Raw genomic sequence first — 25489 nt, 5'->3', positions numbered from 1 at the left:
GATACTTGGTTGGTAGATATTTATCCACTCTGCCACTCTATCTTTTAAGTGGAACACTTAGGCCATTTACATTCAACATCAGTATTGAGGTGTGAGGTAATGTTGTATTCATCTGGCTAGTTGTTGCCTGAATACCTTGTTTTATTTTTTCATTGTGTTATTGTTTTATACATCTTGTGAGATTTCTATTTTAAGGAGGTTCTATTTTGGTGTATTTTGAGGTTTTGTTTCAAGATTTAGAACTCCCTTTAGCATTTCTTGTCATGCTGGTTTGGTAGTGGCAAATTCTGTCAGCATTTGTTTGTCTGAAAAAGACTTTAACTCTCCTTCATTTACGAAGCTTAATGAATTTAAAAACAGAAGAATGGAGAAAAGAGGGATTGCAAACTTAAGGAAATATGAGATGGAAACAATATCATTAAAGAACTAATAATAAATTTCAAAAGCAAGGAAGAATTGAGATAGTAATAGCAAATACAGATTTTTTTTTTTAAAAAAAGGATGAAATTAAACAACCAGCAAAAAGCTCACAGAACTGGAAAACTGACAAATTCTGTGCCACACAGCAATGTATCTTAGGTTAAAAAAAAACAAAACCACACAGAGGAACAAATCAATGTATCCAAAGAGATAATTTAAAAAACAAAACTAATGAAGAAACTTTCTCTGAAACGAAGCAAAAATCTAATCTTCAGATTGAAAAGGAACATATATTCCAAGGAAACTTGACACAAACTCTCAACCCTGAGATAAGTCATTAATTGGTTTCATATCATCCCACAGTAACATTCATAACAGTAGCCACTGGAAAATATCTAAGAAATTTTGAAGGAAAAGAAATATAATGCAACATCACAAACCTTCAAGGTATACAAAATATCCATGTATATAAGATATAAAACTGCAATAGATAGAGCTTATAGATGTCTGCAAACATGCACCCTTCTCCACTAAAACCAACCAAACTAAAAATCAGATAAGTACACATTACTTGATAATGAAATCCAGCTACTTAAGAAATTCCTGAAAGGTAAGAAAATGAGGAAATGCATAAAAGGTCTTGAGTGAACATCAAATCCATTGAGAATATATTTAAATAATTATAGAACAGAATATAAATGTGTAAACCTTGGCAATATATAAATAAATATTATAAATAACAAGATCAAGAGGTGGAAGAGGGGAAAAGGAAAAGGCCAATGTCTTTTTTCTTTCAGAACAGGAAAACAATTGATGCCATAGCAATTAACATATGTAAATTTTAGAGCTATAATTTCAATATTTTAATGTTTTCAATAATCTCTTCTTAACTTTTAGAGGGATCGCTTAGAAAATACTACATTCTGTACTAAATAAAACATTTATTTGAAGTACAGAATTCCATTCCAATTCATTTCAGCTTCATTTGGCTTCTTTCTACTTCAATACTTATTTATAAAAATAGCATGTATTATATGTTAATAATGGTAAAAAAATCAGATTTGGAGTGATTTTTTTAAACCCCTTTTTACTTTTCTGCATGACTTGAACTCATTATAATGAGCAAGTGTTATATTTACAAAATCAATAGTAATTTTTGTTTTAAAAATGAACAAGAAAGATAAAATCAGAGAGACATTTTTCAACAAACTGATTGTGAGCTTAATAAAAACAGTGTTGTAATTTAATTATTTCTCAGACTTAAGATTTTTCTCTGCACTTGGATAGATCTCATCTCCAAATTCCAGATAAGCCCTTCCATTTGAAAATCCTTTGATTCTGTAAACATAATTTAGCATGCAGAATAAGTCCTAGTACTTAAATTACTGACTTGGCTGCTAAATCAGCAGCATAGATGTTATCCAGGGTTGGAGCCAGAGGAAATGATGAAGGTTTGAGACTAAAAATTATTACATGATAATAAGAATGCAAAAACCTGCTTTTACTTTTCATAAAGGCATCTTTTGATCAGTTCCTTGTGTTTATACCTGTACCCATTTCATTTGAGTTGATCACCATTTCTTCATTTGGGGTATGGAGGTCGGGTTTTTATTAATGCTTTCCTCATACACATTAAGCGTGAAAACCAATAGATACAGAACATGAACTACAGAACCACATACACTTTTTAAAAGGTATATTCATACAGGCTACTGCATAGTAATTCCCTCCTCAATCTACTTAGAATTTTCACTACATTATATGAATTCCCTAAGGTCAAAGAGCCTGACACATTTTTATTTGTATTTTGTCTTTGTGAATCCTAGAGAATAGATATTTTTACAAATACATGTTTACCATGAGAATTTGTTTCCTCACTACATAGATGTGGAAGGAAGAATAACGCTCCCACACAAGATGTCCACATTCTAACCCTCAGAATTTGTAAATTTTTATATGGCATAGGAGAATTAAGGTTGTAGATGGAATTATTGTAGTTAATCAGATCAGCTATAGATAGGGAGATTATCCTGAATTATCTGTGCAGACTCAAGGTAACCATGAGGGTCCTTATAAGTGCAAGAGGAAGGCAGGAGAGTCAGTGTCAGAGTGATGCAATATAAGAAAGATTCAACCTGCCACTTCTGGTGTTGAAGATGAAAAGGGGCCAGAAGCCAAGGAATGCGACTGCCCTCTAGAAGCTGGAAAAGGCAAGGAAACAGATTCTTCTCTATTGTTAACAGAAGACTCTTAGCCTAGTAAGACCAAATTTGAATTTCTGGCCTTCAAAACTTTGTGTTGCTGAATTGTATTGTTTTAAGCCAGAAAGTTTATGGTAGTTTGTTAGATCAGCAATAGACAATACAGTAAAGGTTAAAACGAGGCACAGTGTTCCTCCTTGGACCATGTTTCTGGATGTGCATAAATACAGGGTATCGCTTAGGAAAAACTTAAAGTTGCTGTCTTGGGCCACTTGTTCCCTGTCAACACCTTACTGCTCCTTCTGGGTAGCTTTGCTTCATAGAAACCACAGAATTCTATGGCAAGATGGCTGAATAGGAATAGTTCCAGTCTGCAGCTCCCAGCCATATCAATGCAGAAGGCAGGTGATTTCTGCAGTTCCAACTGAGGAACCCGGCTCATCTCATTGGGACTGGTTAGACAGTGAGTGTAGCCCACAGAGGGTAAGCCAAAGCAGGGTGGGGCATTGCCTCACCTGTGAAGCACAGGGGGTCAGGGAACTGGCTAGCCATGGGAAGCCATGAGGGACTGTGCCGTGAGGAATGGTGCATTCTGGCCCACATACTATACTTTCCCCATAGCCTTCACAACCCACAGACCAGGAGATTCCCTCAGGTGCCTACACCAACAGGGTACTGGGTTTCAAGGAAAAAATTGGGCGGCTGTTTGGGCAGACACTGAGCTAGCTGCAGGAGTTTTTTTTTCATACCCCAGTGGTGCCTGGAATGCCAATGACACAACCCTTCACTGCCATGCAGAGGGGGCTGAATACAGGGAACCAAGTGGTCTAGCTCAGCGGATCCCACCCCCATGGAGCCCAGCAAGCTAAGATCCACTGGCTTAAAATTCGTTTACCCAGCACAGCAGTCTAAAATTGACTGGAGATGCTGGAGCTTGATGGGGGTAAGGGTGTCCACCATTACTAAGGCTTGAGTAGGCAGTTTTCCCCTCACAGCGTAAACAAAGTCACTGGGAAGTTGAAACTGGGCTGAGCCCACCGCCGCTCTGCAAATCTGCTGTAGTCAGACTGCCTCTCTAGATTCCTCCTCTCTGGGCAGGGTATCTCTGACAGAAACGCAGCAGCCTCAGTCAGGGGCTTACAGATAAAACTCCCATCTCCCTGGGACAGAGCACCTGGGGGAACGGGCGGCTGTGGACGCAACTTTAGCAGACTTACATGTTCCTGCCTGCAGCTCTGAAGAGAGCAGCGGATCTTTCAGCAAAGCACTTGAGCTCTGCTAAGGGAGAGACTGCCCCCTCAAGTGGGTCCCTGACCCCCATGCCCCCTGACTGGGAGACACCTCCCAGCAGGGGTTGACAGACAACTCATATAGGAGAACTCTGGCTGGCATCTGGCAGGTGCCCCTCTGGGACAAAACTTCCCGAGGAAGGAACAGGCAGCAATCTTTGCTGTTCTGCAGCCTCCACTGGTGATACCCAGGCAAACGGGGTCTGAAGTGGACCTCCAGCAAACTCCAGCAGACCTACAGCAGAGGGGCGTGACTGTTAAAAGGAAAACCCACAGAAAGTGATATCATCAACATCAACGAAAAGGACGTCCACACAAAAACCCCATCCAAAGGTCACCAACATCAAAGACCAAAGGTAGATAAATTCACGAAGATGAGGAAAAACCAGTGCAAAAAGGCTGAAAATTCCAAAAACCAGACTGCCTCTTCTCCAAAGGATCACAATTTCTTGCCAGGAAGGGAACAAAACTGGATGGAGAATGAGTTTGATGAACTGACAGAAATAGGCTTCAGAAGGTGGGTAATAACAAACTCCTTTGAGCTAAAGCAGCTTGTTATAACCCAATGTAAGGAAGCTAAGCACCTTGATAAAAGGTTAGACTAATTGCTAACTAGAATAACCAGTTTAGAGAAGAACATAAATGACCTGATGGAGCTGAAAAAGAAAGCATGAGAACTTCGTGAAGCATACCCAAGTATCAATAGGCAAATCGATCAAGTGGAAGAAAGGATATCAGAGACTGTAGATTAAGTTAATGAAATAAAGCGTGAAGACAAGATTAGAGAAAAAAGAATAAAAACAATGAACAAAACCTCCAAGAAATATGGGACTATGTGAAAAGACCAAACCTGCGTTTGATTGGTGTACCTGAAAGTGATGGGGAGAATGGAACCAAGGTGGAAAACACTCTTCAGGATATTATCCAGGAGAATTTCCCCAACCCAGCAAAACAGGCCAACATTCAAATTCAGGAAATACAGAGAACACCACAAAGATACTCCTTGAGAACAGCAACCCCAAGACACATAATTGTCAGATTCACCAAGGTTGAAATGAAGGAAAAAATGTTAAGGGCAGCCAGAAAGAAAGGTCTGGTTACCCACAAAATGAAGCCCATCAGACTAACGGCGGATCTCTCTGCAGAAACCCTACAAGCCAGAAGTGAGTGGGGGCCAACATTCAACAATCTTAAAAAAATGAATTTTCAACCCAAAATTTCATATCCAGCCAAACTAATCTTCATAAGCAAAGGAGAAATAAAATCCTTTACAGACAAGCAAATGCTGAGAGATTTTGTCACCACCAGGCCTGCCTTACAAGAGCTCCTGAAGGAAGCACTAAATATGGAAAGGAAAAACCTGTTCCAGCCACTGCAAAAACGTGACAAATTGTAAAGACCATCAACACTATTAAAAAACTGCATCAACTAACAGGCAAAGTAACCAGCAAGCATCATAATGACAGGATCAAATTCACACATAACAATATTAACCTTAAATATAAATGTGCTAAATGCCCCAATTAAAACACACAGACTGGAAAATTGGATAAAGAGTCAGGACCCAATATGCTGTATTCAGGAGACCTATCTCACATGCAAAGACACACATAGGCTTAAAATAAAAGGATGGAGCAGTATTTATCAAGCAAATGGAAAGGAAATAAAAAGCAGGGGTTGCAATCCTAGTCTCTGATAAAACAGACTTTAAATTAACAAAGATCAAAAAAGACAAAGGAGGGCATTACATAATGGTAAAGAAATAAATGCAACAAGAAGAGCTAACTATCCTAAATATATATGAACCAAATACAGGAGCAACCAGATTCATAAAGCAAGTTCTTAGAGACCTACAAAGAGACTTAGACTCCCACACAATAATAGTGGGAGACTTTAACACCCTACTGTCAATATTAGACAGATCAACGAGACAGAAAATTAACAAGGATATTCAGGAGTTGAACTCAGCTCTGGACAAAGTAGACCTAATAGACATCTACAGAACTCTCCACCCCAAATAAACAGAATATACATTCTTCTCAGTACCACATAGCACTTATTCTAAAATTGACTGCATAATTGGAAGTAAAACACTCCTCAGCAAATGCCAAACAATGGAAATCATATCAAACAGTCTCTCAGACCACAGTGCAATCGAATTAGCACTCAGAATTATGAAACTCACTCAAAACTGCACAACCATGTGGAAACAGAACAACCTGCTCCTAAATGACTACTGGATAAATAAAGAAATTAAGGCAGAAATAATAAGTTCTTTGAAACCAATGACAACAAAGACAAAATGTACCGGAATCTCTGGGACACAGCTAATGCAGTGTTTAGAGGGAAATTTATAGCATTAAATTCCCAGAGGAGAAAGTGTGAAAGATCTAAAATTGACACCCTAACATCACAATTGAAAGAACTAGAAAAGCAAGAGCAAACAAATTCAAAAGCTAGCAGAAGACAAGACGTAACTAAGATCAGAGCAGAAATGGAGGAGGTAGAGACACGAAAAACCCTTCAAAAAACAAATCAATGAATCCAGGAGCTGATTTTTTGGAAAGGTTAACAAAATAGATAGACTGCTAGCCAGACTAATGAAGAAAGGAGAGATGAAACAAATAGACACAATAAAAAAAGTGATAAAGGGGATATCACCACTGATTCCACAGAAGTTCAAACTACCATCAGAGAATACTGTAAACACCTCTATGCAAATAAACTACAAAAATCTAGAAGAAATGAATAAATTCTTGGACATACACACCTTCCCAAGACTAAGCCAGGAAGAAGTCAAATCCCTGAACAGAACAATAACAAGTTCTGAAATTGAGGCAGTAATTAATAGCCTACCAACCAAAAACAGCCCAGGACCAGACGGACTCACAGCTGAATTCTATCAGAGGTACAAAGAGGAGCTGGTACCATTCCTTCTGAAACTATTCCAATCAACAGAAAAAGAGGGACTCCTCCCTAACTCATTTTATGAGGCCAGCGTCATTCTGATACCAAAGCCTGGCAGAGACACAGCAAAAAAAGAAAATTTCAGGCCAATATCCTTGATGAATATTGATGCAAAAATCCTCAAAAAATACTGGCAAACCAAATCCAGCAGCATATCAAAAAGGTTATCCACCACGATCAAGTGGGCTTCATCCCTGGGATGCAAGGCTGGTTCAACATATGAAAATCAATAAACATAATCCATCACATAAACAGAACCAACGACAAAACCACATGATTATCTCAATAGATGCAGAAAAGGTCTTCGATAAAATTCAACAACCCTTCATGCTAAAAACTCTCAATAAACTAGGTACTGATACAACGTATCTCAAAATAATAAGAGCTATTTATGACAAACCCACAGCCAATATCTTACTGAATGGGCAAAAACTGGAAGAATTCCCTTTGAAAACCGGCACAAGACAAGGATGCCCTCTCTCACCACTCCTATTCAACAAAGTATAGGAAGTTCTAGCCAGGGCAATCAGGCAAGAGAAAGAAATAAAGCGTATTCATATAGGAAGAGAGGAAGTCAAATTGTCTCTATATGCAGATGACGTGATTGTATATTTAGAAAGCCCCATCATCTCAGCCAAAAATCTCCTTAAGCTGATAAACAACTTCAGCAAATTCTCAGGACACAAAATCAATGTGCAAAAATCACAAGCATTCCTATACACCAATAACACACAAACAGAGAGCCAAATCATGAGTGAACTCCCATTCACAATTGCTACAAAGAGAATACAATACCTAGGAATAAAACTTACAAGGGATGTGATGGACCTCTTCAAGGAGAACTACAAACCACTGCTCAAGCAAATAAGAAAGGACACAAAGAAATGAAAAAACATTCCATGCTCATGGATAGGAAGAATCAATATGGTGAAAATGGCCATACTGCCCAAAATAATTTATAGATTCAATGCTATCCCCATCAAGCTACCAATGACTTTCTCCCCAGAATTAGAAAAAACTACTTTAAATTTCAAATGGAATCAAAAAAGAGCCATATAGCCATGACAATTCTAAGCAAAAAGAACAAAGCTGGAGGCATCATGCTACCTGACTTCAAGCTATACTACAAGGCTACAGTAACCAAAACAGCATGATACTGGTACCAAAACAGCTATATACACCAGTGGAACAGAACAGAGTCCTCAGAAATAACACCACACATCGACAACCAGTTGATCTTTGACAAACCTGACAAAAACCATCAATGGGGAAAGGATTCCATATTTAATAAATGGTGTCGGGAAAACTGGCTAGCCATATGCAGAAAACAAAAACTGAACTCCTTCCTTACACCTTACAGACAAATTAACTCAAGATGGATTAAAAACTTAAATGTAAGACCTAAAACCATAAAAACCCTAGAAGAAAACCTAGGCAATGCCATTCACAACATAGGCATGGGCAAAGGCTTCATGACTAAAACACCAAAAGCAATGGGAACAAAAGCCAAAATTGACAAATGAGATCTAATTAAACTAAAGAGCTTCCACACAGCAAAAGCAACTATCATCAGAGTGAACAGGCAACCTACAGAATGGGAGAAAATTTTTGCAATCTCTCCATCTGACAAAGGGCTAATATCCAGAATCTACAAGGCACTTCAACAAATTCACAAGAAAAAAACAACCCCATCAAAAAGTGGGCAAAGGATATGAACAGACACTTCTCAAAAGACATTTATGCGGCCAATAAACACATGATAAAAAGCTCATTATCGCTGGTCATTAGAGAAATGCAAATCAAAACCACAGTGAGATACCATCTCATGCCAGTTAGATGACAATCATTAAAAAGTCAGGAAACAACAGATGCTGGAGAGGATGTGGAGAAACAGGAATTCTTTTACAGTGTTGGTGAGAGTGTAAATTAGTTCAACCATTGTGGACAACAGTGTGTCAATTCCTCAAGGATCTAGAACCAGAAATACCATTTGACCCAGCAATCCCATTACTGGGTATATACCCAAAGGATTATAAATCATTCTACTAGAAAGACACATGCACACAAATGTTTATTGCAGCACTATTCACAAAAGCATAGACTTGGAACCCACCCAAATGCCTATCAATGATAGACTGGATAAAGAAAATGTGGCACATATACACCATGGAATACTATGCAGCCATAAAAAAAGGATGAGTTCATGTCCTTTGTAGGGACATGGATGAAGCTGGAAATCATCATTCTCAGCAAACTAACACAGGAACAGAAAACCAAGCAACGCATGTTCTCACTCATAAGTGGGAGTTGAACAATGAGAACACATGGACACAGGGAGGGGAACAACACACACCAGGGCCTGTCAGGGGTTGGGAGGTCAGGGGAGGGATAGCATTAGGAGAAATACCTAAATCAGATGATGGGTTGATGGGTGCAGCAAACCACCATGGCACGTGTATACCTATGTAACAAACCTGTACGTTCTGCACATGTATCCCAGAACTTAAAGTGCAATTTTAAAAAAGAAAAAAAAAGCCATAGAATTCCAAAACTGAAAAAGCCGCTGCCCTCAGGATACCTGCATTGCCCTGTCTTCCAAGGACCATGCACATGGCCATGTTTCCATCATTTCCCATCTGTTGCCATTCATTTCTGAGGCCTCAGTGGTGTGGGTGACAGCCACAATGAGACAGCCTATAGTATACAATAAAGACAGGATGTCTGAACATAGAAACCATGCAAGAGGGCAAGAGGTTCATTATCCAAAGGATAGAACATTCCAGGGAAGGTTTCAATCTTTTTTCCTGGTGAGTGGGAAGGATGTCGGGGGGAAAGGAAGAGGAGCAGACTAGATACAAACACAGCTGGCAAGTAAATCCTGTAGCAAAAAATTAGCAGATATCCAGACATATAGATGGTGGTTTAATATCAGATAAACTGAAAGGCAGTATTGAGCTGTAGGACAGGTGATGAATAATATCTGTGCATGGGGATACCAGTAGGTTAATGTACACGAATCAAATACTCATTAGCAAACCAAAAGGAGAAAAAGGCAGGAGACTGCACACCAGAAAATTATGGTCAAAGCAGAAAAACCTTTAGGCTGAGTCAATGCTAGGCTGAAAACTTCCAACATAAAGATTCATATATTGTTATTACCCAGAGATAGGTGTCATCTAAATGTAGGGTTGCAGTTAAATGCCCCATTAGGGAATGGTATAAAGCTATATAAGCAGGATCCAAGCTAGTCATTATATAATTACTGTTGTCAAAACATAATACTTCTGAGTCCCATTCTCACTGAAGCCTTTATTTATTAGATAATACTGGGTGAGAGTAAATTTATCCAGATAAACAAATTGAGGAAGCACCACTCAGTACAGAAGTAACTTCTCAACCTTCCTTGGGCTGCTCTTGGTTTTTTGTCTGTTTGTTTGAGACGGAATCTCACTGTGTCGCCCAGGCTGGAGTGCAGTGGCGCGATCTCCGCTTACTGCAAGCTCCGCCTCCTGGGTTCACGCCATTCTCTTGCCTCAGCCTCCCGAGTAGCTGGGACTACAGGGGCCCGCCACCACGCCCGGCTAATTTTTTGTATTTTTAGTAGAGATGGGGTTTCACCGTGTTAGCCAGGATGGTCTCGATCTCCTGACCTCATGATCTGCCTGCCTCCGCTTCCCAAAGTACTGGGATTACAGGCGTGAGCCACCACACCTGGCCGGACTGCTCTTGTTTTTAACCCCTGAATACCTGAAGGCTGGAGAAGATAACATAAACCCATCAGTAATAGTAGTTTACCATAGCAAGGGTTCCCATTTGAGGGGACTTTGAAAGGGGTTCTCGGACAATGAAGGGGTGGTTTGAAAAAGCTCCTTAGGGTGATTCTGTTACATGCCACCTCCTGCCAATCCTGCATCACCAGAGGGAATCCATCTACCTACCCTGATGAAATCATTGGTGTAGTTTAAAGCTAGCCTCACTGGGAATCAGAAGACCAGATTTTGAGCCCTGGCTCCACAACTAATTTGACTTAGACATTCCGGGATAATTTATGACCCATCTGGAGCAGAATCACCTATTACACTCATTTAAAAATGAAAATTATCTACCCAGGTCAAAACAACTCTGACATTGTTGCTCAGGGTCTCCATTTTCATAATCAGAGGTGAGAATTTGGCATTACAAAGATTGAAAACTTCACATTGTAAATGAGTTTAGACAAGTTATTACTACACTTCTTTGGTTTCATTACCTGAGAAATAAGAGGTTTACATTGAAAGGTATTTATAGTCCTCCCAGTTCCTCAGTGTGGGAGAGTAGTAACAGGGACTTTGGAACCAAAAGGATATAGGTTCCAATATCAACTGCACCAGTGGCTTAAATCAATAAACATTTACTATTGCTCATGGGCCTATGGGTCAGCTCTCCTGATTTGGCTGGGCTGTCTCACATGTTTAGGAATTGGCTAGCTCTAGGCTGGTTTGGTTGGCTGCAGCTAGGACAACTGGACTCTTCTCCGTATGATCTCTCATGTTTTACCAGGCTACTTTAGGACCATTTACATGGTGGTACCAGGGTACCAAGGGAGAGGAAAAGTGAAGGACTCTTGAGGCCAAGGTTCCAGACTGGCATGTCATTACCACTACAACATTCTGTTGGTCAAAGCACTTTACAAAACGAGGCCAGATTCCAGGAATGCAGATAGAGACTCCTTCTCTGGATGGGAGAAACTGCAATCTCAATTACAAAAGACGTACTCCTTTGCTGAAGCCTACAGCAGTGGTTTTCAAATCTTAGCTTGCATCAGTATAACCTGAAGGTCTTGCTATTGATAAAACATAGGTTGATGGGTCCACCTGAGTTTCTTATTCAGTAAGTCTTGGATGAAGCCCAGTAATGTGCATTTCTAACAATTTCCCAGGTGACAATGGTGCCAGCTGTGGATCACACTTTGAGAACCATTGCTCTACAATAGACTCTTCTACTGTATGTAAAAAGATTAAATTAAACTTTAACATATAAGGCTGTGTTCCATGGCTCACACCTGTAATCCCAGAACTTTGGGAGGATGAGGCAGGAGGATGAGCACTTTTGTATTTCTCTACAAAAAAATTAAAAACAATTATCCAGGTATGGTGGCATGCTACTTGGGAGGCTGAGGTGGGAGGATTAGCTGAGCCCAGGAAGTCAAAGCTATAGTGGGCTGTGATTTCACCAGTGCACTCCAGCCTGGGCAACAGAGACCCTGTCTCTTACAAAAAGAAAAAAACTAACATACATAATTTTATTTCTAGGTTAACTTTATTTCTGGCATAGCTTAACATATATTATTCATGATATATTTCTCTCCTAGTAAAATATGAAATTTTAAAAATCTAAATACTTTTTAGAGGACTTTGACTTTCCCTTTTTCCTGAAAAAAATATTCTTTTTAATATTCTACCTTAAACACATAATCAACTCTAATCAATCAGAAACCACTGAATGATTTTATTTCATCTCTCCCCATGCCTACATTCTATCCCCCTCCATGATTAATACAATTAGGCCAGTAAGGGGAAGGTATTGTTGAATCAAATGAGAAAATTGTCTTTTATATTTTGTTAAAATTAACTAGAAACAAATTAACTAGAAATAATTGAACAACTGAAAGCTACATTCATAGTCTACTTACTCATTGCATAGATGAAGTAACAGGCTCAGAGGAGTTGAGTAACTTGCACCAAAATACTAATTTTTTGTTTAATCATCTGGTTGATACATCATAAACATATATGACCTAAATCAATAGTAATCTACCTTCTACTCTGATCTTAGTTCTCCAAGTAATGAAATATCTCTGGAGATCTTTTGTAAACTCAAAGTTAATTGTGATTTCCTGGTTCTTAGAAAATACATCCGGGTTTCTATTCTTTACTAGCAAGAGAGAGAGAGAGAAGTAATTACCAGGTTCTTACCTATTTTTTAAGAACATTTCCCTGGGAAAACGGTCCTTAGTTACATTATACTGTGGAAAATGAGACTTAGATAGGCAGAGATTTACCTATTATCACACACTGGAATTAGGCCTATTTATTTTAAAGGACCAAATTTTTTCTACTGCATCAAACAAAATGATAGATAAATATCCGGATCAGCCTATGTTAACTATCCATGATTAACTCATAATTAGCTGAATTATTTTTAGACTTGCAGTTACTGGTAGCAACGCCTATAAATGGTCTAATATTCTTTACATTTTAAGTATTTCAAAGACCTTGCTATTTGCCTAACATGGTTTTATCATAAGTAATGCTTATTAATCACTTACTACATACACAGCATTATACACAAACCCCATATTTATTATCCTATTTAATATTCATGACAACTCTCTAAGATACACACTATTTTTATCTTCATTTTACAGATAAAAAACAGACTGAAATGATTAAATAACCGCTCAAATCACACAGCTAGTAAGAAGTAAGTTTGGAGCTCAAATAAAATTCAGTTTGATTCAAAGTCTTAATATCGTATCCGTGGCACTGTTCTGTCTTGCTACTTGTACATTTTTTTTTTAATCAACTAAAGTGATGGTACTACAAAAATAGCTTTGAATCAATTGAACACTGAGTCTGTTTCAGAATAAGAAATTTATGACAGAATGGAAGGGGAAAGGTGAAAAGGAAACATCTGGCTTATTCAAAGAAATTACAACTGAAAATAGCTATGAGACTGACGTGTTTAGCTAACACATGTGACCAAGTGTGTGGGCCTCCAAAGCTGTCCCTTAGGAAGATAGATGCTTATGTGAAGGATGCCTTCCTTGCTATAACACATTTTAGACATGTTTTAGATCTTATTATTTTGTGTATATACCTAGTTTTTTTGTAACAGCAATGAAAAATCCTGTATTATCCAGTTTTTAAGTGATTCCTCACTTAATTTACTTGATTTGATTCTGAACAACATTTTAGGTATTTTCCTAGATTAAATCCAACCTTCAGAGAACATACTATTGTCACATTGCTGACATTCTCCTGAATTGTGACTCACATTGTAAACATGACTCCTAAAGAGGACATTTTAAATTATGTAGAAACCACTCATGGTGGGTCGGGTCATGCCTATAATCCCAGCAGTTTGGGAGGCTGAGAATAGACGATAGATTGAGGCTGGGAGTCTGGAGTTACAGTGAGCTATGATCGCACCGTTGCACTCTAGTTTGAACAACAGAGCAAGACCTTGTATTAAAAAAAAAAATGTGTGGAGCTATGGCAGCAAACTAGGATCATCAATTAAATAAGTATTTATCGTTTTCCAAAGTGAATATTCTGAATATTTCAATATAAACATATTCAAAAATAAACACATCCCAGTATGTTTATTTGAAAACAAAAGCAACAATACATTATGAAAGGAAAGAGAAAAGGTATTTAGACAATATAAATGTTAGATTCTGTCTCTTTTAGTACAATGATGGGGCTTCCCCAAAAAGAATTGTCAGTTGTGGGACTTTAAAAAAAAAAAAAGGTCCTTACAAACCCACTCCAGGTTCAATACTTTGAGCAGATCATCCAAACCCAAAACGGTGACCTAGTCATAGGTGCATGGGTGGAGTCTCAGAAAAGTTTTTTACCTGAAATTCTTCAACATGGCTGACATTCAGAGTCATATAATCAAGGCAGATTTTATTTAAAAGCAGAAAACCACAACAATCGTGGCAGATATTTCAGTATCATAATATTCAGAACATTCAGCTAAATATGGCTTAACTAAAGAGCAGTTTATTTTTTCATATACAACAAGATGTCTAAAAGTCAACAGTCCAGGACTAATTGAGCAAGTCAAGTTTCCTATCAGAAACCCGGGTTCTTCCTATCTTCCTTCACCATCTTTCAGAGATTGGTCTTCAAGTGGTTCATAACTGCAAGATGGCTGCTCTAGCTCCAGAAATCACATATACCACATAGGAAGAAGCAGGTAGGACAAATGGGGCAAAAAGTTGTGGCAGTGGTCACTATTAGTCTTTCATCAGGAAAACAAAAGCATTTTCAGAAGGTTTCTCAGCCAATATGTATTTACATTTTTTCTTTCTTTGAGACAGAGTCTCATGCTGTCGTCCAGGCTGGGGTGCAGAGGCGTGATCTCGGGTCACTACAACCTCTGCCTCCTGGGTTCAGGTGATTCTCCTGTCTCAGCCTCCTGAGTAGTTGGGATTACAGGTATGTGCCACTGTGCCTGGTTAATTTTTGTATTTTTTAGTAGAGATGGGTTTTTGCCATGTTGGCCAGGCTGGTCTTGAACTTCCGACCTCAGGTGATCTGCTTGCCTCAGCCTCCCAAAATGCTGGGATTACAGGCGTGAGCCACGGCGCCCAGCCGTATTTACATTTAGTTTGCCATAACTATGTCAAACAGCCACTACTAGATGCAAAGAAAACTGGGAAATGAAATATTGAAATTTCCAGTCTCTAAGTTAGAGTAAGACAAGGAGGGTGGAGGTTAAGAATTCATGTTGAGTGAGGCAAATTACAATGTCTGTTTCAATAGGACTGACATTTTACTAGGCAGCATGTTTTTACACTTTGTATCATTAAATCATCACAACTGTAGGAGTTGGTCCTTGTTCTTTTAATTTTACTAAAGAAGGAAGTATGATCCAGAGTAATTAAGAGAATTGTACAAGTCACCCAGTTTATAAGCATCGGAACCAATTTCTATATGACTTTAGAAACTCCACTGTCTAACTTGGGTAAAGAAATCTTAACAGCATGCAAATAAATGCTTTCTGAAAAACTGAGTACTGAACTTGCTTTTCAAAGGTAGCATGCAAGACAATCTTTAAAATCCTTACTGGATTCTTAGACATGATCTTGTTCTTACATGCAGCAGAACTTGTTGAGAAGTTTCTAAAAGGATAGCCAAGGTTGCTTGGGATGAGCAACTGTATTCCATTAGTCACTGAAGCCCTTATATGACTCTCAACATTCACCCACTGGTAGGAGATTTATAGACAGTGAATTACTTATTTAATACCTTGCTTATATATTTTCCAGACTTGGTTTGCTTGTATTGATTACAATGTAGTTCTTGATGTATGCCAAAGAAACTCTTTTGCCCTCAATTTTTTCCTGCCATAGATAACACAGAGCCTGAAATACATCACATCTACAATCCCATTAACAAAAATAGGAAATAGAACATATTACCTTGTTCAGATATTAAACATCTTTTCCAAGTCGTACTAACTGTCATATAGGTTATTGTGAAATAGGCTAGAAACTTTTGGTAGGACAAACATTTTTGCAGGACAGTTTTCAAAAAATATATCTAAGGTGTTTTGGGGGGCTTAATAGCTTTACCTCGCAGAAAAAAATGTATTTACATTTAAGTGTATAATTCTTGCCAATTTGGTACAAGTGTGTTCCGCACTTGGCTCAAGTTCTGCTTATTAAAGCTGAATGAGTTGGTAAGTCTTAATAATCTCCAACGGTGTTAACTTTTCCTAGGTGCAATCTTATATATCACAAGGTTAATACATTTGGTGCATATACTTATGGGAGCTGTTTTTATACATCTTAAAATTTTCATTTGTTAAAAGCCCGGTTTCTAAATTTATGGTTCAATTACTTAAGTCTGTTTTTCAAAGGTCAAAGAAAATATCTTTCTTCCATTAGTTAGCATTCCCATTCCTTCCATTTTCCCTGACTAAATAAAGTTCAAGGTTAGAGGAGCAGCCAAGAACAGAGAAAAATGAACTTAGTACAGTGGCTATCTTCCAGGATGCCTACCACCATCATTGAAAAGTCCATTGTAAACAAACAAACTTACCCAGCCAGCTAATGAGCTATTTTTTCAAAAATATCCTAGTAGTTTTCAATCAAGATGATGTATTCCAAGAAAAGTATTTGGTATCTTGCCCATCTAGGTCTTAAAGAAATGGAGAACTTTAATAATAAACTTTTGTTATGATCACAATTAATAACGTACTACAAAATCAATTAACTTTCTCAACTCCCAACTATTTTATACTTATCTTTTTCATTATGCAAGTTTATTACTAAAACAATGTAAGAGGAAATGTCTGAACAGTTTTCAGATGCCCTTACAAAGAACTATTTACATAAAAACAATTATTTTGCTAATTTTATACAATTATACATCATATATAATTATCTATAATTTTTATTTTTACTCATTAAGTTATATCACTAATGACTTCTTTTAGGCAAGCTTACGTTGGTGTTACAGTTAGTAAATTAATTAATTAGTCAATTAATTTAGATTTCTCACTAATTCCCACTGGCCTTCTCTTGCCCCCTACCCTTGCCTTTATATTTAATTCTAGGAAATATGTGAACAGAAGTCTGGTACTACCTTCAAAACATACAATTGTAAAAAGGTGGGAAAAGCGGCCCAGTGCGGTGGCTCACGCCTGCAATAACAGCACTTTGGGAGGCCGAGGCCGGTGGATCACAAAGGTCAGGAGATTGAGACCATCCTGGCTAACACAGTGAAACCCCATCTCCACTAAAAATACATAAAAAATTAGCCAGGCATGGTGGCAGGCACCTATAATCTCAGCTACTCGGGAGGCTGAGTCAGGAGAATGGTGTGAACCCGGGAGGCGGAGCTTGCAGTGAGCCGAGATCGGGCCACTGCACTCCAGCCTGGGCAACAGTGAGAATCCGTCTCAAAAAAAAAAAAAAGGTGGTGGGGGGAAAGCAATTGCTTCAACAAAAAATAAAAATAAAAAATGAAGGGGAGACTTCTGAGGCCTTGCAGGTTTATGACCTGAAAGAACCACTGAGGTCAACACCATAGTGTTCCTTTACTTTGCTGAAAGCTTTCTGACAAGGTCTCTCCTTCCCATCAATTAAAAGTGGTTTTTTGTTAGAAGCAATTAAGAGCTGAAGGTTATTTTGCCTTCCCCGTGGATCAGAAGCTCTTTGAGGAGTGGCATAAAATCTTTAGTGCTATCCCACGGCGTAGAGCAGGCTGCACAACCTACACAAATTTTAACTAATTAATAAATAAATGGCTGACATAAAAATGGAGAGATGCTTCATTGCCATAAATACCCTGTTTTCTCTATGCTTCTTGCTTTCTCTTAGCTGCTATAAGACATCAATGATAAAAACATAGAAGTCTATTACACAGAGTCAGAGAAATGGTGCTCCATAAACTCTAATAAATATAAATAAATAGCATCCGCACGGTTCTAGAGAAATCGCTCAGGATGTCTGGAAGGTGCTTTGTAGCCACATGAAGAGTGTACAGCATCACAGTTAAGTTGGAAACGGGAGGCTGAGTGTAAAATAAGTGTACTTGTCCACACAGGGCAATAAAAATCATTCTGTAAGGCTTTCCTATAGAAGAAAAACCGGTGCCTGGGAACTGGGTTCTTGGGACCATTAACAAAACTGAAAGGGGGTAAAAATATCAATGGGATGGTGTCAGTGGTGTGGTAGTGAAACAAAGATCCAAGGCTCCCCTTAAAGGGGGAGAAAGGAGAGATATTTTCTTTTCTTTTTTTGCCTCCCTGGGGCAGCCTGGCCAGCACAGGCAAGACTCAGAGTGGAGTGAGAAGTGAAGAGGATGAAGGGTCGGGAGAGAAAGGGAAGAGAGAGAGGCGGGGGCTAGTCCCCAACGTGGTGACTTCGCTGCGCACCTGTGGGGCCGACGCTCTGAAGCGGGACGGGGGTGTTGGTCGGAGGGGGGTACCCAATGGCCAGGGGCAGGAGCCCTCGCCCGACTTGGGAGTCTCGGACCCTGACACTCGCTCCAGCATCCTGGCAGCCCTCCCGAGAGGGTCGGACTTTCTTTCGGTCAGGTTGCAGAGTTCTTCCCCGACTGGCTGCGCGCTGCCTCGGTGCAGAAGTTACTCCTGCAGTCTCAACCCCAGCCAGGGCCTCTCGGGCTGGTTTTATTTTGCCCTTCTCGCCGTGCAGCCCGCCCCCGACACCGTCCCGGGCACTGGGAGGAGCGCGGCTCACGTGGAGGCGGCGTCCCGCGCCTCCGGAGCAGCGCTGAGTAGGCTGCGCGTGTTGACCGGCAGTTGCAAACTATTGGCCAGTTAACGTCCCACTCGCTCCGCCACCCAACTCCACCCCGTTCTTCTCGCCCCTTCCGCCTTCGTTTTTCGATTTTAGGATCCTCTCCTTGCTTAAGTGTTTGGATAAATTCGCCGTCCGTAATCGGTTCAGTTGGAAATTACCCGATGGTTTTCGTACTTTTTTTGAACGCTGACTGCAGAAAATGGCATAGGGAGGTGGGGGAAGAGGGAGGAAAGTGTGTGTGCGTGTGTGTGTGTGTGCGCGCGAGTGACAGGGGACAGAGACGAGAGATAGGAGAGAGAGGGAGAGGAAGAGAGGGAGAGAGAGAGAGAGAGAGAGAGAGAGAGAGCGAGAGAGAGAGAGAGAGAGAGAAAGCGAGCCCAAGACCTGAGGGGAGGGCAGGGGGCTTCCCTCCCCTCTCCTGGAGGACGGACAGAATGATACATACTGTCATTAACAGTGTTGACCCACCCAGACCCCACCCTTCGGTTGCATCCATCATACAGTCATTACAAAGAGGTAGCGCTGTCACACGGCTTGCCCTGCTCCTGGGGCTCTCGGCTGGCTTAATGAGGTGCACCCAGCCGGGGCTATTGTGCAGCTCGAAAGAGGCAGGAACGAGACGGCAAGGATCCTAGCAGCTGCTCGCGGGAGCCTCGGCTGCAGCAGCCTCGCAGCAGCAGCCAACCCCAGACCTCAAGTGGATGAATGCCTCTGGAAGTGTTTTCCTGAAGGAACCCATCAGGCAGTGGAAGACTGTGGCAGGGCTAGTGAACTTAGATGGGGCTTTCCTCTCCTGCAGTTGAGCTGGCTGGAGGCAAGTGCAGTCACTCGGGTAATCGCGGGGGTGCTGGGGGCGGGGGGGGTGGTGGTGGTGGTGGTTTTAAGCCAGTCCACGGTCAAAAGGCGGCTTGGATCAATTTCCCCTCCAACCACTCAACTCTCCCCTTTACCTTTTGTTTTGTTAGTTTGGCTTTTTCCACCCCCACCCCCTCCCCGGTATGTTCTGAACCGTGCGTCTTGCTCTGGGGTTTGATTGTATATTTAAATGTAATTCTGATTGGTGAATGTTCTCTCCTTTTTGTTGTGATTACTAGAGATACTTTAGCCCTGCCTTCCCAGTTCTGCGCCCAGCACAAGCAGTTTTGAAAATTTAAGTGCAAAAAGCATGACAAAGCAATATGAGGTTGCCGTGGTAAGTGAACTTTTAAACCGAAAATTACCATTTCTTCTCGTCTGCTCGGTCTGTGGGTGGTTTGAAGGGGAATCCTCACACACAAAGGGTTGGGGGCTGGGAGGAGGGGGTCGTTAAACAACAACAAAAAGAAACCCGTACAAACCAGTAGTGCTAATTTTGTTTTTCTCTCTACTATGGTCAGTGGACAAGTTCTGTATTTATATGTTTGATACTCTTGGGATGGTAATAGGCTTGATGCATTTAAAGTGGGTGGGAGTTGGCAGTAAGCAGGGGAGAGGTGCAGGGAAGGGAGGCGAAGGGAACTACGTTATTGTCTGGTTTCAAAAGAACCTTGCAGCTCTGACTTCCTGAACTCGGCACATTAGCCGGGTCACTCCTGATCAAAATCCTGAAGAAGAAAAGAAACAATGGGGTCATCCTCAGCTACTACAACTATCTCTGTGTCCTCTCCTGCAGTTAGACCATTCTTCCTCACACTTCCTCAGGTAGCAACATTTGAAGCCATCATTCTTAGACAAATTTTAAATACTAAATGATGATGAAATAATACATTTGCAAAGTTGTGGTCTTAAAAGGTTTGAGGCTGGAGAAAGGAATTGCTTATTAACCCTCCTTCCCACTGCCCTCTCCTCTCCTCCCTCTTCCCATTCATCCCACTTTTTAAAGTGTTACAGATTCATTCATTTAAGAGTCCTTCTTCAGCATCCTTTCCTAATCCCTTTTGTTTTTAAATAGGAGGTATATTCCATGGATGGACTTCCGGGTTTTGCCCCTTTTTCTCATTCATTTTCCAAGAATAGGTATCAACACAGTATTTGTGACAATGTAAACAGTTCTAAGTTTGGTAAAAGACAGCCTTTGCTCTGGAGAATTCTACATTGTTTGGCCTGTTTTGCACTTTTAAAAAAAGGATTAATAGTGCTCAGTAGTCTTAAAAACTTTCAGTTGCCTTTTAGCTTATCCAGGGCTGTTGCCATGGAGAGAACTGGGATGCCCTAAATTGGAATGGACCTGCCCATTTTCTGATGAGGCAAGGCCATCTAAGTTTTCTCATTTGAAGGTTGGGATGGAAACAGAAATACCCACTGAAAGGAATTGTTTTGTTGAGTCCATTCTTAATTTTCATTTATATGTGTGTAGATATAATTGCATGTGCCTACATTTCTCAAGACCTATTCTGAAATAAAGATTTTTAAATTATAAACTTCCTGTGATCATAGGAAACACAGAAAATAACTTAAAAAATGATTGTATTGCAATAAAGCTTAATGTATTTTAGCGGGCATATATTTTAATAACTTATTTTTAACAACTGACTTATTTTTTGCCTATTCTACATGAAGTTACTGTAGTTCAACAGTAACTACCACAGGAAAGTGATACCTTATGCAGTCAGCTTCCAAAGTCATCAATATTGATTTTAGTCTAGCTGTTTGCAATAACCATCCTTAAAACAGTTTTCATTTGAGAGCTAAAACACCAAAATGGTTAAACTACTAATTTGTTGGTACAAGAGGAATCAATTTAGTAACATTTGTGAAAAAAGAAGAGTTTAGATTAGAATATAGTATTTTATGTCTTTGTATTAGCAAGAATTTCAGTTGAGAAATCTCCTTCTTCTACCCACTAATATCCATAGACCACAGGTAGTAAGCTAGCAATGTTCTTAACTATATAATTAATTTTAGATCATATTACTCAACTATCATAGGATTTAAATTTATAATTAATCCTGAACTATACTAACACTACCTGGGGTTTTAAAATAAACACTTTGAACTATATGTATACAGTGCTAAACAAAGAAATAATTCATTATCTACTACTGAGGTATAGATATTTATAAATAAATATATGTCCTGTATATATGTAAAATTAAATTACTTTGACATGTGGAGAAAAACAACTTTATTCAGAGTTATTTTAATCATAGTCATAATCTCAAAGAAGCCATCAGATTTACTTAGTTTTTACCTAAACACTGAAAATACTGTTTTAGTTGAAGTAATTCATTAAAAATTATTATTTAAAATAAGCTGGGTAATTGAAAATTATCTTCTAAATGATAATTAATAGTGCATGTAGTTTAACTGCCTTTAAAATATTTAAACTCTTTAATGCTATATATTTAATGCTATATATTCCTCATACTTTCCCTCACCATAATTCTGTGCCAATTTTAGGTTTGCTAAATATTCTTAATGTGCAAATTTAAAATGTAAAAGTACACTTACCAATTTTTTTCTACAAAATACAAACATTTTTATTTTCAGTATAATTGCCTTTATACCAAAATTATAAGTGTTCTATTTATGTTATTGGCACATTGGAAATACAGTGGTCATGTTCCGATATTTTTCTTGAACCTCAGTTTATTAGAATAAGTTTTACAAATAGCAGAAAGCTTATAATGTTCATAAGCACAAAATTCTTAAGTTTTGTGAACTAAGCAATACTCTCATAGAAAGTCATTGATTCCAATGACAGTGACTCACTTTAAGTGAAAAAGTATTCATGCATAAAAGAGAAAAGTGAGATGTAGGAAGTGGCGGTGGATGGCAGCCAGGTTATCTAATGGGTACATTGCAGGTTTTGTCCTTTGTACCATATCCAGGGCATGCAATGTACCTGCAAGCATAAAGGCAAAAAAGAATGGCTGAAGTGACATTAGAGTTTTAAAAATGCAAAAATAATCTTCATTTATTGTTTCTAATTGGTATTAAATGTAGTATGTATCCTATGTCAAATATACAATCTAAAATCTCAAAGAAGTTAACTTTTAATAGTTAACATGTATTGTCTACCTGCTATGACTCAGTCATGGATTTAATCATATATGTAAGTGCCTTATATGCAGTATCTCAGTTAATCTTCAAAACACTTTAGGTGGTAGCTTTTATTTCACCTAGAAACTGAGTACCTAAGGCAAGACAGCTTATGAACCATAAAGTGAGGATGTGAATCAAAAATCTATCTGACTCCAAAATTGGATCCAAAATCAAACAAAATGACAATCAAATAATAGAAAGATACTAGATTTTAAAAGGCCTTCATATAAAGCTCATGTAATTGCCACATATTCTGAGGGTAGGGATTGCCTGTCAATCTTGGCACTTTTGCAATACAACATTTTTGAAGAAAAAAGTTTCACTGAAATATTTTTAACTGTACCCACATTGGGTTTGGATACATTAGCCTGGTTTGTCTGGTTATTTCTCTTTTGGGATATTAATTATGGAGAATTTATTATATTCTCAATTCTGTTCCAAAAACAAAAGGAGAGAAAAATTAACTCAGTTATAGTGACAAAAGTATTTTAAAATAAATAGCAAAAATACCTACTAAATAAGAGGAAGACCTAACTGTACCCAATTTTCCTTAAAAGGGAACTTAAATAAGCAGAGTGATTTTAAAAATCTTAATGACTAAAATGGGATTTAATTTTTCATTTTCAAGACTTTTAAAATTTTGATTACACTTACATTTGGTAATGTCATAAAATGTTATATGATTTTTATAGGTAGCAAATCATTTGATTTTTTTACGATAATATGTATTTTCTAAGCTAGAGTTTACTTTGATATACTTAATCAATTAACTTCTAATCACAGTGATTAAGGGGGATTTTTTAAACTGCCCTCATTTTGTGAACTAAAGAAACCTGTAAGTGATATAGAAAATTAAAAGTTTTAAATAGGGCCCTACTATATGATTCCTTTTGAAGTATTAAAGATGATAGACTCTCTAATAAATGCAGAGAAAACATCCTTTCCCATCAAAATGCTCTAATTTTGATCTTTTTTGTTTATAAAATCTTTGGACTTGAGAGATTGGGACATAAATATTGCCTATTCTTGGGTTTATTAGCTTAGATGTGGAGTAGAGATGTTAAGATTTTATCAAGGTAATTCATTCAAGCCTCTTTAAGTAACAATGAAAAAATGTTTAAGGACATCATTGACATTCAACAGAAAACTGCTCAATATTTCACTTTTCACCTGAGAAGAAATGATAGCACTCAGAATAACTCTATCTGCACTTTATGCAATAAATGGTCTCCTGAGTTGTTTTGTGTAAATCTTTTTTTTAAAAAATTGCCTTACTTTTTTTTTAAATGCAGAGAGCTCACACATTAAAATAGTATTTGAATTAATGATCTTGTTAAGTGAATAACTTAAAAAAATTGATACATCCATTTTGTAAGTTTCAATTTTTTATAAAGTGAAACCATCGAAATTAATCATGTTTAAACCTCATTACTATGAGAGTACTAGTAGATTTTTTTTTTAAGTCAGATAATTTTGGAATTTTAAGAACCAGGTTATTAAGGGGAGAATTATGAGGCTTGAGCATTTCAACCCACAGTATTCTAGCATTCAACCACTCAACTCTGTTTCACTTTGATTTTGGAAAAACCCCTGAATTTTTACCCCTCTCAAAACTAATTTTAGTTACTGGTCTAATTTTAAATAAAATTCAGGCCAAGTTTTTTTAGTAGCTAATAAAATGTTTATATAATTTTCTGTTTCATCCCTTGATGTGGAAATTTATATTACATGATTATGTACTAAAATCATACAACCGTCTATACAATTTTTCTTTCCATTCAAATTCATTGAAGTGCACAAATCTGTCTATATAAATAATGAATATATGTAATTATACATATAAAAGTTATGGTTATAGCAATATGAAGCTAAAAGGGAAAGTTATTAGTTGTTTCAGTTTTAAATTTATGGTATAATTAACTCCTCAAAACATAATTTTATCTAATGATAATAATATTAACTATTACTAACTAAAAATCCAGGAGTATTTTAGGATAAATTCTGGAGTCTATTTTCTTTTACCTCTCCATTATTGTTTTGTCATAACTGTACAAAATGATCATTTCACTTGGAAAACTGGTAGGAAAAATGTGAACTATGTTTAAAGTAAGAAAAAAACAAAGGATCTTAAGAAAGTTCCTGCATAGGTCCTGGAATCCTTCAAGCTATGCACCACAATTATCCCTGTAAATCCTTTTGAATATGAAGTCATCACATTTTGTGTTCAAAGTAAAGTTATCTGTTGTAGATTTTCAAAGCCTCTCAGAGCATTATAGAAAGGGCAGAGTAATATAAGCTACATACCGCCTCGCTTGACAGACATTGACAAAGGCTGAGAAGGCAATGTTAATGCTTTTAATTTTTTAAAAATAGAGATTATAAAGTTAATGAAACCTGAGGTCATTACCATTAAGAACTAAGAACTCAGCTTTTTAGGTGTTTTCAGTAAAAATAATTAACTATGGGATAGGTAGTTTAAAGAGCTGATTAACATTATAAATATTTAACAAAATCTAAAATACTACCACGATCCTTTGTTAAAGATAATT

The 25489-nt window shown here is 38.1% G+C and overlaps 1 protein-coding gene and 1 long non-coding RNA gene across 11 annotated transcripts in view, besides 1 other annotated feature; one reads left to right on the top strand and one right to left on the bottom strand.

Moving 5' to 3' along the window:
• The window catches only part of LOC105375993 (uncharacterized), a 98517-nt gene extending 79628 nt beyond the window's left edge, over positions 1-18889 (bottom strand). For both annotated transcript variants that reach the window (XR_929520.3, XR_929521.3), the window contains exons 1-2: positions 18530-18889; positions 16690-16788 (exon numbers count right to left, since the gene is read on the bottom strand). This is a non-coding gene — a long non-coding RNA (uncharacterized LOC105375993). The remainder of the gene's footprint in view (positions 1-16689; positions 16789-18529) is intronic.
• Positions 18879-18928: a silencer, noted in NCBI's record as "silent region_19816". NCBI's record gives its function as "represses an Ori minimal core promoter by ATAC-STARR-seq in GM12878 lymphoblastoid cells {active_cell/tissue: GM12878}" and the evidence as "EXISTENCE:reporter gene assay evidence [ECO:0000049][PMID:35858748]".
• The window catches only part of ELAVL2 (ELAV like RNA binding protein 2), a 160498-nt gene continuing 154423 nt past the window's right edge, over positions 19415-25489 (top strand). For 8 of the 9 annotated variants that reach the window (XM_047422916.1, NM_001385694.1, NM_001351466.2 and 5 more), the window contains exons 1-2: positions 19415-19731; positions 20012-20109. In XM_047422916.1, coding sequence (XP_047278872.1) covers positions 20083-20109 — 27 coding nt within the window. In that variant the 5' untranslated portion in view covers positions 19415-19731; positions 20012-20082. Of the gene's footprint in view, positions 19732-20011; positions 20110-25489 lie in introns of those variants that run through there. The other variant, XM_011517779.4, reaches the window with a different exon arrangement.

This window comes from Homo sapiens, chromosome 9, assembly GCF_000001405.40.
Source record: "Homo sapiens chromosome 9, GRCh38.p14 Primary Assembly".
NCBI classification, from domain to species: Eukaryota; Metazoa; Chordata; class Mammalia; order Primates; family Hominidae; genus Homo; species Homo sapiens.
This window is presented reverse-complemented; position numbering and strand designations above follow the sequence as displayed.